At 42.4% G+C, this 13,186-nt stretch overlaps 1 protein-coding gene across 32 annotated transcripts in view; it reads left to right on the top strand.

The window, feature by feature from the left end:
* PCCA (propionyl-CoA carboxylase subunit alpha) overlaps nt 1-13,186 on the top strand; it is a 441,343-nt gene that overhangs the window by 360,938 nt on the left and 67,219 nt on the right. The gene's annotated exons all lie outside the window — the stretch shown is intronic.

The raw sequence follows: 13,186 nt of genomic DNA on the forward strand, positions 1-13,186 counted from the left end.
TACTTATAAGTTTATAATTAGTATTAGTTACTATAATTTTCAAACTAATTTGTTTAAAAAGGTACCTTATTTGGCTTGGTGCGGCAGCTCACGCCTGTAATCCCAGCACTTTGGGAGGCTGAGGCAGGTGGATTCCAAGGTCAGGAGTTTGAGACCAGCCTGACCAACATGGTGAAACCCTGTCTCTGCTAAAAATACAAAAATTAGCCGGGTTGTGGTGGTGGGCGCCTATAATCCCAGCTACTCAGGAGGCTGAGGGAGGCTGAGGCAGGAGAATCGCCTGAACTGAGGAGGTGGAGGTTGCAGTGAGCCACGATTGTGCCACTGCCCTCTAGCTTGTGTGACAGAGCGAGACCCCGTCTCAAAAAAAAAAAAAGTACCTTATTTTAATTTTCATTTTTCTGTTTATTGCTATTGTATTTGAATATTTCTCCATGTATTCATTCACCAGATATCATTTCTAATCTGTGAAATGTCTGTTCATGTCCTTTGGGTACCTCATTCAGGATATGGATTCATATTGGGCATTTCAGATAACTCTGGAGTTTATTAAGAATATCAGAGGTATTCTGCAAGAATATCAAGAGGTATTTCAGGCGAGAGAGCTTGCGTGAAAAAGGGTTTTGCAGCCATTGAGATAGGAAGGATGTTAATAAAATGTGTGTTTACTGAATGCTTTATCGATTATAGAGATGTATATATAATTTATGTATATAAAGTATATGTATAGGTACTTGGTCAATGTAACCTAAATTTTAAGTATTGGAACTAAGTTTTGTGATTATTCTTGTTTTTCTGATTAGTAAGGTAATACATGCTTATTGTAAAACATTTGAAATACAATTCAAATGTATGTCATAATATGTTGCATTAGTCAAGATTCTCCAGAGAAATGGAATCAACAAGATGTGTGCGTATGTGTAGAGAGAAAGAGAAAGATAGATCTAAGGAATTGGCTCAAGCAATTGTGGAGGCTTGGCAAGACTAAAATCTGCAGGGTAGATGAGCAGGCTGGAGACCCAGGGGAGCGTTGCAGTTCAAGTCCAAAGACAGTCCACTGGCTGAAGCCCTCCTTGCTTGGGGAGGTCTGTCTTTTTCTCTTAAGGCCTTTAACGGGTTGGATGAGGCCCACCCACTGTGGAGGGTGATCTGCTAAACTCTAAGTCTACTGATTTCAGTGTTCGTCTCATCTAAAAATATCTTCGATGATACATCTCAGTGTTTGACCTAACATCTGGGTACCATGGCCTCGTCAGGTTGACACATAAAATTAACCATCACAGAAGTATATATCCTATCCCTAGAGGTTTTTAAGTTATTAGCAATAGATAATTCTTCCAGAAAATTATGCATCTTTTCATGCAATAATAGATCTTGGACACCTTTCTGTGTCAGTCCGTAAGATGGACCTCAGTCGCCTTAAGGGCCACACAGAGCTGCATTACGTGGATGGAGAGGACTGCTTTCACTCCTCAGTGTTCGTGCTGGGAAGTCCACTCATGCTGTCTCTGCTACTTAGCATCTCTACTGGGTTTCTAATCGGTTTCTCAACTTCATGTATCGGAAACTGAGCTCGAAAAGTTTCTCCCTCAGTTTTTCCTCTCTCTGAAAATGGCAACTTGAACTAATCCTTGATTACTTTCTCTCCTCTTCCTCTCTCTCCTCTTCCCCTCCTCTCCTCTCTCCTCTCTCTCTCTCTCTCTCTCTCTTCTCTCCTTCCTCTCCCTCTCTGTCCTCTTCCTCTCCTCTCTGTCCTCTTCCTCTCCTCTCTGTCCTCTTCCTCTCCTCTCTCTCCTCTTCCTCTCCTCTCTCTCCTCTCTCTCCTCTTCCTCTCCTCTCTCTCCTCTTCCTCTCCTCTCTCTCCTCTTCCTCTCCTCTCTCCTCTCCCTCTCTCTCCTCTCCCTCTCTCTCCTCTCCCTCTCTCTCCTCTCCCTCTCTCTCCTCTCCCTCTCTCTCTTTTCTCCCTCTCTCTCTCCTCTCCCTCTCTCCCTCCTCTCCCTCTCTCCTTTCCTCCTCTTCCTCTCTCCTCTTCCTCCTCTCCCTCTCTCCTCTTCCTCCTCTTCCTCCTCTTCCTTTCTCTCTCTCCTCTTCTTCCTCTCCCTCTCTCTCCTCTTCTTCCTCTCCCTCTCTCCTTCTCTTTTTTCTTTCTCCTCTTTCTCGCTCCTCTTTTTCTTCTCTCTCTCTCCTTTTCTCTTTTCCCCATCTGTCTCTCCCTGTCTCCCTCTCCCCTGTCTCTGTCTCTGTGTCCCCACGCCCCCCACTCCTGGCCCTGCCTTTAGCCATCTCTTGTTTGGAGGATGGCAGTAGCTGGCGTCCACCTCACTGCCATGCTACTCCCTAGTCCATCACTAATAGAGCAGGAAAAGGAGTCCTTTGAAAACATCCCTTGGTTGGCCTTGTTGCTCTTCTTCAGACCTGCTGGGCACATGCCTTAGGGTCTCTGCCCTTGTTTTTCTTCTACTAAGAACATCTGCCCCTACATGTCTGCTCAGGGGTTTCCTCACTTTCTTCCGGTCTTTACTCAGTAGGCTCCTTCTGAAGGAAGGCTTCCCTGGTCACGCCGCTTACAGTTCTGGTCACTCTTTCCAACATCTTATTCCCCCTCGCCCACTTTATTTATTTATTTTTTTCATTAGCAGTTACCACTGCTTGACATACTGCAATTTTCCTTTTTTGATGTATTTGTTGTCTATCTTCCTCACCTGGAAGTGATAAGCTCCTTGAGTGCAGGGTGATTTGTCTGTTCTGCTCAGCGTGCTCTGCCCAGTGCCCTGAACAAGGCCTGGCTTGGAGGAGGTATTCAGTCAGGGTTGGGCAAATGAATGACTGAAATTGGCCAATGTAGGACCTGAGTGTTAGACTTGAAAAGAAAACTAAAGAAAGGAAATACAGGCCTGGCTCGGTGGCTCGTGCCTATAAACTCAGCCCTTTGGGAGGCTGAGGTAGGAGGATCACTTGAGCCCAGGAGTTCAAGACCAGCCAGGGAAACAAAGGGAGACCCCATCCTTACAAAAAATTAGCTGGGTGTGGTGGTGCATGTCTGTGGTCCCAGCTACCCAGGAACATCACTTGAGCCCAGGGAGGTCGAGGCTACAGCGAGCCGTGATCACACCACTGCACTCCAGCCTGGGTGAGAGTGAGACCCTGTACCCTGTCTCAAAGAAAAAAGCAAATATGAAAACAAATGGAGGCCGGGCATGGTGGCTCACACCTGTAATCCCAGCGCTTTGGGAGGCTGAGGTGGGAGGATCACCTGGGTCAGGAGTTCAAGACTAGCCTGGCCAACATGGTGAAACCCTGTTTCTACTAAAAATACAAAAATTAGCCAGGCATGGTGGCAGGAGCCTGCGATCCCAGCTACTACAGGAGGCTGAGGCAGGAGAATCGCTTGAACCTTGGAGGTGGAGGTTGTAGTGAGCTGACATTGCAACCACTACACTCTAGTTTAAAAAAAAAAAAAGAAGAAGAAGAAACAAATGGAGAAAAAGAAAGTGCAGGGAGCTTTTTGGGACTGTGGAGCTGAACTAAGCTGTCTTCCATGGATAAGGAAACTGTATCTTAGAAAAGGTCACTTGACTTCCCCAAGGTTTCACGTCTGGCTGGTGTGTAGAGCACTAAAGGGTATACAGATTTCCTGGCTCTCAGTTCAGGGCCTGTTCCATCAGCAGGTGCCCTTCAATTTCACTCCCTTTTATCCACTTCAGGCACCCAAAACATGCTAGCATAAAAAAACACAAGAAACAAAAACACACCACATGTACACACCCCTACTTAAATGGACAACAAAAGTCACCGGAAAAAAGGGAAAAAAAGAATGTCTTTTTGATTTGTTTTGTTTTGTTTTTGTTTTTGGAGACAGAGTCTCACTCAGTTGCCCAGGCTGGAGTGCAGTGGCGCGATCTCGATATCCGCTCACTGCAAGCTCCGCCTCCTGGGTTCAGGCCATTCTCCTGCCTCAGCCTCCTGAGTAGCTGGGACTACTGGTGCCGGCCACTACACCCGGCTAATTTTTTTGTATTTTTAGTAGAGGCAGGGTTTCACTGTGTTAGCCAGGATGGTCTCGATCTCCTGACCTCATCATGATCCACCCGCCTCAGCTTCCCAAAGTGCTGGGATTACAGGCGTGAGCCACCGCACCTGGCCAAAAAAAAAAAGAATTTCATGTAGCTGACACTTTCCTCTGCCCCTAATAAATCATAGATTCCTTGCCAATGAGTTCTAAAGGGGCTGTGTCCACTCTGTTTATACAGTTTATACCTAGCAGGAATGTCAGTTTCAGGTACAATTTCTAGAGTAATTTCTAATTACTGTAAAATTCACAGTACAGCATAGCAGTTTGGATGGCCAATGTGCTTTGTTTTACTGAATTTTTCTGTGTGTGTTATTAGCAATAGTAGATCAGTCTGAAAGGGGGAAAGAAATAGTTTGAAGATAGTAGTGGTCCTGTTACAACAAATACAGATTGATTCCTAGCTAGCATATGTTGCTTCAGTCAAAGATGTCTAAAGCAAGTATAGTTTCCAAGACACACAGGTCAGGAATAGCAGCATGTCCCATGGCAAAGGTGATGCTTTCCAGGTATAGATTTGTCTTTGTGAGAATCCTTGTAGAATTTTCTATATAAGTTTGTTTTTGTCAATATTGATAAACATGATCTTCAATGTTCAAAGGAGAGTTCAATTTTAGACTAAGAGAAGTACTTCTGTTGTGTAAATAAGGTTCAAAAATAAGGTTACTGTTCAACTTAGAGAAAATACAAACTTAAAAATAATTCATTTCATTTTTTATTCACTCTGAACTTTTAAAAAAAGCTGGTTTGTGATTTTCATTTTCAGTAAAACAAATCTCATTACTTTAAAAAAAATGCTTGTATTAGATATTATATATATGAAATATTATACTTTACATTCTTATAAAACATTTATAAAGAATGATGATACAACAGATTTGCATACCTAAGTGTAAGACTTGAACAAAAGACTAAAGACAGGAAATACAGGCCTGGCTTGGTGACTCATGCCTATAAAGCCAGCACTTTGGGAGGCTGAGGTGGGAGGATCAAATACATCAAAAAAGTAAAATATGTAGTATGTCAAGCAGTGGTAACTGCTAATGAAAAAAAGTAAATAAAGTGGGCAAAGGGTGGAATAAAATGTTGGAAAGAGTGACCAGAATTGTAAGTGGTGTGACCAGGGAAGCCTTCCTTGAGAAGGAGGCTACTAGCCTGAAGAGTTTTTAAAAACGTAACCATTAGTTTGGAAGGTCTCTGTGTTACTCCCATTCTGTCACTCATTCTCTCCCTGCACAAGGAACTAACATCTTCCCGACTTGTATCTATTATTCTTTGCTTTTCTTTATAATTTTCCCACATTTATATCCCTAAGTGATATACATTTTTGTTTTACGCGTTTTTAAACTTGATATACATAGAATTATATTCTGGAATCATCTGTGACTTGGTGATTTTGCTTTGTGTTTGTGAGACTCGTATGTTGCATGGAGGTATAATTCATTTATGCTCAGCAATGCAGGATGCTGTGGTGTTGATAAACTAGCCTGCTACTCATGGATAATTGGGTAGTTTCCAGTGTTTTGTGCTGTAATTCTCACTACTACCCGAAGCATTTTGGTACGTGGGTATATGTGTACTGATGGCACATATGCAATCGTTTCTTTCTTTTTTTTTTGAGACAGAGTCTCCCTCTGTCACCCAGGCTGGTGTGCAGTAGTGCAGTCTTGGCTCACTCCAACCTCCACCTCCTGGGTTCAAGCAATTCTTCTGTCTCAGCCTCCCAAGTAGCTGGGACTACAGGTGCATGCCACCACACTCAGCTACTTTTTCTATTTTTAGTAGAGATGGGGTTTCACTGTGTTGGCCAGGCTGGTCTCAAACTCCTGACCTCAAATGATCCACCCACCTCAGCCTCCCAAAGTGCTGGGATTACAGATGTGAGCCACCATGCCCGGCCATATGCAATAGTTTCTTTAGGGTTTTGTGCATTGAGTATGCAGTGAATGAGTTCACTTTGTTCCACATCTTCACTTGGATCTTCTTAATTTTTGCCAGTGTGAATAGTGCCCTCATTGTTGTTTCAATTTGCTTTATCCTGATATTAATGAAGTAGAACATCTTTTCTTATTTATTGGCTATTTCTCTTCATCAGCCATTTGGTTTCCACCTCTGAGAAGTACCTCTTATAGCTTTTTGTGTGTTTCTCTATGACATGGGACTGCAAAAATACATGAATTTAGTATGTGAATGATACAAATTAAGTATATGTCATTTGGCTTTTCAATAAGGCAAGAGGGTTAGGTGTGGACTTTTATGACTCATTCTTGTAGGGCCCAGGCCTTTGGGGCTTAGCGGGTGTTCTCCCGGTGTGCGGAGACGAGAGATTGTAATAAATAAAGACACAAGACAAAGAGATAAAGAGAAAGCAGCTGGGCCTGGGGGACCACTGCCATCAAGATGCGGAGACCGGTAGTGGCCCCGAACGGCTGGGCGCGCTGAGTACAAGACCAGGGGGCAGGGTAAGGAGGGTGAATCTTCTAAGTGATTGACAAGGTGAAGCAAGTCACGTGATCGTAGAACAGGGGGGCCCTTCCCTCTTAGGTAGCCGAAGCTGAGAGAGAGAAGGCAGCATACGTCAGCGTTTTCTTCTATGCACTTATAAGAAAGATCAAAGACTTTAAGACTTTTACTATTTCTTCTACCGCTATCTACTACGAGCTTCAAAGAGGAACCAGGAGTTACGGGAGGAACATGAAAGTGGACAAGGAGCGTGACCGTTGAAGCACAGCATCACAGGGAGGGGTTTAGGACTCCAGATGACTGCGGGCAGACTGGGATAATATCCAGCCTCCCACAAGAAGCTGGTGGAGCAGAGTGTTCCCTGACTCCTCCAAGGAAAAGAGACTCCGTTTCGCGGTCTGCTAAGTAATGGGTGTCTTCGCAGACACTGGCATTACCGCTTGACCAAGGTGCCCTCATGCGGGCGTGACAGAGGGCTCACCTCTTGCCTTCTAGGTCACTTCTCACAATGTCCCTTCAGCACCTGACCCTATGCCCGCCGGTTATTCCTAGGTTATATTAGTAATGCAACAAAGAGTAATATTAAAAGCTAATGATTCATAATGTTTATAATGATTGATAATGTCCATGATCATCTCTATATCTAATTTGTATTATGACTATTCTTATTCTAACTATTTTCTTTAATATACTGAAACAGTTTGTGCCTTCAGTCTCTTGCCTCGGCACCTAGATAATCTTTCACGCACACGTTCTGACTATGAGCTATGAATGGAAGTGACTGTCAATGACTCTGAAGGTTCTGAGATTTATGCTACTTGCTGGCTGACAAATCAGCCTGCGACATTTCATAGATGCTGATAGAAAACATGAGACTCCAGGATCAGAGATGAAGGACAGTTTATTACAGCAGCAGCAGTGGTCAGGATACCATTGTCTTTGTACCATTTCCCTGAACCCAGATTCCTCTAGGGCAATGCAAAGAGACATGATACCTGCACACATAATGGGTTGCATTATAGGAGAGGAGCTCTGAGTTTAGAGAACCTGAGTCTTTTTATACTGTGCAGTAATCGCACCTGCCCTTTGATCTGGAGGGAGACACTCTACCAAGGCCATTTACTGTACAAGCATCTTTGAAAAGGTAGTTCAGAGCAAAGAACAATCAGTGTCTTGCTCACAAGAAGTGGAAAAATGCAAGAGACCTGGGGGTGAATTGTCTCCTGGTAGTGATGTGTGTCACTTTTGGTCAGAGATAGCTAAGAGCAAGTGTGAGCCCTCTAGTCCCTGCCATGCCCCCCTTGGAGGTTGTGTGTGACGCTGATGCTCCTGTCAGCATGAGTTCCTTCTGAAGAGTGGCAGTGAGCACTGCTACTTGCAAGCTGTAGTAGACTGGGATCTCAGTGTTGACTTATTGCTAATGCGTAGCCCAGCTTATCCTGATACATAGTCTGGGAACATGAAGGACCACCTTCTGTTTATAGAACCCCATGTCTGCTTATAGATTTCAGATTTTATAGAGATTCATTAGGTTTATTCTGTCTACTTTCAGTCCTTTCGCTTATAAACTTTCAATCCAAGCATAAGGTCTTTTTCCTGTTACGCTGTTTGAACTTTGTTTAAAAATTGTGGCCAAGCATGGTGGCTCATGCCTGTAATCCCAGCTACTCAGGAGGATTGCTTGAGCCCAGGAGTTCAAGACCAGCCTGGGCAACAGTGGGACCCCATCTCTACACACACACACACACACACACACACACACACACACACACACACACACACAGTGGGACCCCATCTCTACACACACACACACACACACACACACGCACATATACACACAGTGGGACCCCATCTCTGCGCGCACACACACACACACATACACACACACACACACACACACACACACACACACACACACACACACTAGCGGAGTATGGTGACGCCCACCTATAGACCCAGGTACTCAGAAGGCTAAGGAGTAAAGATGGCTTGAGCCCAAGAGTTCAAGGCTATAGTGAGGTATGATTACTCCACTTCACTCCAGCCTGGGGAACAGAGTGAGACCCCACCTCAAAAAAATCAAAAAAGCGAAGATTTAAAAATTAAAATAAGATTGTTAGCCAGTTTTTTGTTTAATGAAGGAAAAGTTTTCCAAATTAACAGAATGGGACATTCAGATAAAATTTGTGCCTTTATGACCCAGGAGGATGGCCTGGGTGTACATACAAGTACTCAGGACACCACATTCTCACCTTTGGTATCTATCCGTTTTATTACTCTGCCACTCCCAAACAGTAATACATAGGATTCCGTGTTAGTTTCCTAGGGCTGATGCAACAGATTAGCACAAACCGGGTGGCTTAAAATAACAGAAATGTGTTCCTTCACAGTTCTGGGAGCCAGGAATCTAAAATCAAGGTGTGGGCAGGGTTGGCGCCTCCCTAGAGGCTCTTAGGGAGGGTCTGTTCTGTGCCTCTCTCCTGGCTTCTAGTAGCTCCTGGCAGTCCTTGCCTTCCTTGGCTTGTGGCTATGTAATTCCAGGGTCTTCTGCTGCTGTCACATGGCCTTCTTCCCTATGACTGTGTGTGTTCATTCACATAAATCCAGCACCACCAGTCATCAGATTTAAGGCTCACCCTAATCCAGTGAAACCTCATTTAACTCATTATGTCTGCAAAGACCCTATTTCCAAATAAGGTCACATTCTGAGGTTCTGAGTAGATATGAATTTTGGGATGACACTATTCAACCCAGTATGCTATATAGATCTGAAAGCCTACTTGACACACATGTAAAGCTAAAAAGTGACTGAGGCAACTTACCTGAAAATATATTTTACAAACAGAGCATTACTTCTTAGGTCTCATTTGAGTACTACCATTTATTTCCCTAGTATTTTCATACATCACCTGTATGACTGCAGTTCGTACCCCATACTCAAAAATGCAGGAACACTGATGATGGCTATGCCTAATTTTCAGAAGACAAAAGTGAGCATAGAAAGGTTAAAATAACTATCCTATGGTAATAACTGGTAGAAACAGGATGCAAAACCAGCCCTCACCAACTTTGAAGTCAGGCTGTTGAACATCAGAGGACCTTGAGAACAAATTGCTTGACTGTGGAATCCAGGGAGCTCTCTGCAGTAACTGCTAAGTACAACTGCTCAGGCTGCCATAATGAAACACCATTGACCGGGTGGCTTAAACAACAGATGTTTATTTCTCACAGTTCTAGAGCCTGGGAAGTCTAAGTAAGGTGCCAGCAGATTCAGTTCCTGGTGAGGGCCCTCTTCCTAGGCTGCAGGCAAATGCCTATTCTCCCGTAGCAGAGAGAGAGTGCAAACTCTGATCTTCCTTCCTGTTAAGGGCGCTAATCCCATCATGGGGCCCCACCCTCATGACCTCCTCTAATGAACTCTGAAAGGCTGCGTCTCCAAATACTGTCACATTGAGGGTTAGGCATTCAGCATATGAATTTGGACGTTCAGTCCCTAACATACATTTGGTTGGTAAGCTGCAGATCCCAGAATTTTTCCAGGATATCTGTGCCCATTTCAAATTGCAAATTGTCTGGGTTTTGTTTGTTTTGTTTGCATGTTTTGGTGAAGCTGTGAGTCTGTGTACATCAGATAGTGTAAGCTCACAAAGAAATCGAAGAGAGCTGGTGTTTTACTTAACCAGAATTCCTTACTTGAACTGTGCTTCACAATAAGAATAAATATTTTGTTATTAAAGAATGCAGAAGTTACCATTTTATTGCAAATTTTTATTATAATTAGGTTTTAAAGTACTATAATAAGGCAAACATATCTCAGTGAGACTGACTTTTTTTCCCTTATAAAAACAATGTTTGTATGAAAGAGAAAATAAGCTTAGACTCCATTGAACAGCTTCTTCATGGCTGCAGTATTGGCATTCACCCAAGGACTCTTGAGAAACGATCAAATTTTCAGTATCTTTGAAGCTTAGCCAGAGATCTAATGAAACCAAATGATGCTAAAGTTCTTAAAGCTAATTTAAATCTCAAATTATACATTTTAAATTAAGTTTTTATTGATAATAAATATACTTTATTTCATATTACCCTTGAAAGCTTGAGTGATAATATTAGTAGAATAAACATGTTTTACAAAGATTTACCATTAAGAATGCTATTAATATGACCCTTGATACACCAGCACAATTAGATTTCAAAGTAAGCACTTATGAAGTAACAGCGATTAATGACAACCATCGAAAACAATTTTGAACTCCATCAGTTTAACTCAGGAGGGTAAACTTAATATGATAATTCATCTAGTTGAATTGTATCAGCTTAGCAGGAAGGTATGTAAATATGTGACCCTTACCTAGCTTCTAAATGGATGCTGTGCTGATAGATTTATCAGTTCCATTAAAGAACTTTGGGGAACTTTGGAGTTTCAGCAATTGTTCCCTTGGAGGCTGAAAACCCAACCTGATCTCATACTGGGACCATTCTGGTCTGCATATTTCCATAATTTGCCTTTGCTACTAATATGACAGCAAGACACAAATAACTGTTTCTAATAATATCAGATGGAGTTGTGGAGGACAGCATTTTAATGTAGTAAAAGACCTCCCCGTGGGGTTGTTATTGCTACTATAGAACAGCAGCTACACAGTTGCAACTGTAGTCTCTTAATTGATTCGTTTAATTAGCAAGAGCTGAAGCTTGGGCTGTATCTTGTCATCTGATATCATAGGACTCGAAATTTGCATCATTCATATTTATAGATATGTAAACATCATCAAAAAGGTCTTCTGCTTCTGAAAATTCACTTACAGATATCAAATTTTAATAGAGCAGACTCCCATTTGTTTGAAATTTAACTAATTAAAAAATGAAAAGAATTAAGTTTGTTACTGTTTTTCTTTATCTGTACTCTTGAGAAATAAGTGATGTCATACATTTTTGGTTGTGGATCATCTCCTAAACATAAACTTCCAGAGAACTTCTTCAGTCTTCCGTATCTCATAATTCCATAAGCAGTCCCTCAACTGACATGTCTGACTTAAGTTGATCTCTCCTCTCTGTCCCATCCCTTTCTCTGTGTCAGTGTGATTTCAGGAATGACATGATGGCTTACTGGGGTTTCTTGCACACGTGTGCTGTAACTTTCCACCTGTCCCTGCCTGCCTTTGCAGCTGCTCCAAGTCCTGCTAGGGTAGGCTGTCTGCTTGTGCTGTGGTTTGGTGGGTCATCTGGCTGAGTTGGCTCTTGGCAGTTACCTGCCTACCCAAGCTGCATTGGTCCCCACTTTCTCTGGAGGGGAAAAGAGAAACGGATAGAAAGTATCTGGCATAGAAACCAGAGCCTTTCTAGTCTGTTTACCCTCAACTCCACAGGGCTTCCTCCCTGCTCGGTCACACTCTTTGTATTCCTGACCCTTTTCTAGTCCAACAATAGGAAGCAGGTGGCGGTCACAGAGCAGACACTTTGTGGAGGGGTGATGAAGTTTTCTGATGTTCAGATATATTTTACAGTGCTAAGAAAATCTATAGCATTCCTTCCTGCATTTGCCCCTAAATATACAAAATTTCAGGCAAAATATGGGTAGAATAAGATTTTATGAAATGGAATATAAATGTAGTCTTAATCTTGAACATTGTTTCTGTGGTAATGTGTGTTCTGTGTGCCATGTAACCAAGCTAAGAATGAACTTTTGGAATATAACTACGTTTTTATTCTTTTGAAATTGGCATGCTCTATATAATATAAAAGTTTGGTTATTAGTATTGCAGTGTGATGCATTCTGAACAAAAATTTAAAAGAAATCATTGCCTGCCTGCTATACTATGTGCTAGGAAGTGGGTTAGTTGAACATGACTTGGTCCCTACCCTTAAGTAGCACACTGGCTGGTGAAGACAGACAAACTGATACCATGCAAACATGGTATCAGTGCTGAGATGGGTAATGCATAGGCTTATATAGTAGCAGAGCGAATTGTAGATCTGTTAGCTTTATTATTTGTTTCTTTTATTGATAAACAGTACAGTCCATAGGGCGTAGGTCTCTGGTTAAGAATTTGCATTTTATTTGTCAAGTACACCTCAATAAACACAGGGAAAAGAAGAACTGTATTTCATATCTTATTAGACATTACTTTTTGAAAATGAGCACAAAACCTAGCATTTAATGGTAGTCATGAGAGTCAGTCAGTCATCTTACACTGGTGACAGACACTGAATTCTGGCAATTCAAAGGAAACAAATATCCCTGCAGTCATTGGGCCCATTGTCACCTAAGGATAGAGAAATGTAAATGACTGATTACCGTGATAAGAACGCTAACAGAGGTGTATACGAAGTAGAGGGATTCTGGGGCTGAGGTGAAGAAAGTGGAGAAATTGTGAACAGTTTTTCAGTGTTTATAGCTCATGCTGTGACTTTAAGGATGAATTGAGTTTGCAGGAGAAGGCATTTCAGATAGAGGGAACAGTGAGCCTGGAGATAGCAGGTTGTAGAAACTGCACTCTGTACTGATGATGGAGAAAGAGGACGGAATGAAATTAATAAAGGCGCAGAGGTATTAAGATGTCCCAAGTGTTTAAGGAAGAGCAGATTGGCTTATGAGGGTGATGGGCAGGGCAACAAAGATCCCTTTGGAAGATGAAATTAGTCTGTTGGGGG

Source organism: Homo sapiens, chromosome 13, assembly GCF_000001405.40.
Source record: "Homo sapiens chromosome 13, GRCh38.p14 Primary Assembly".
In the NCBI taxonomy this organism is placed as follows: Eukaryota; Metazoa; Chordata; class Mammalia; order Primates; family Hominidae; genus Homo; species Homo sapiens.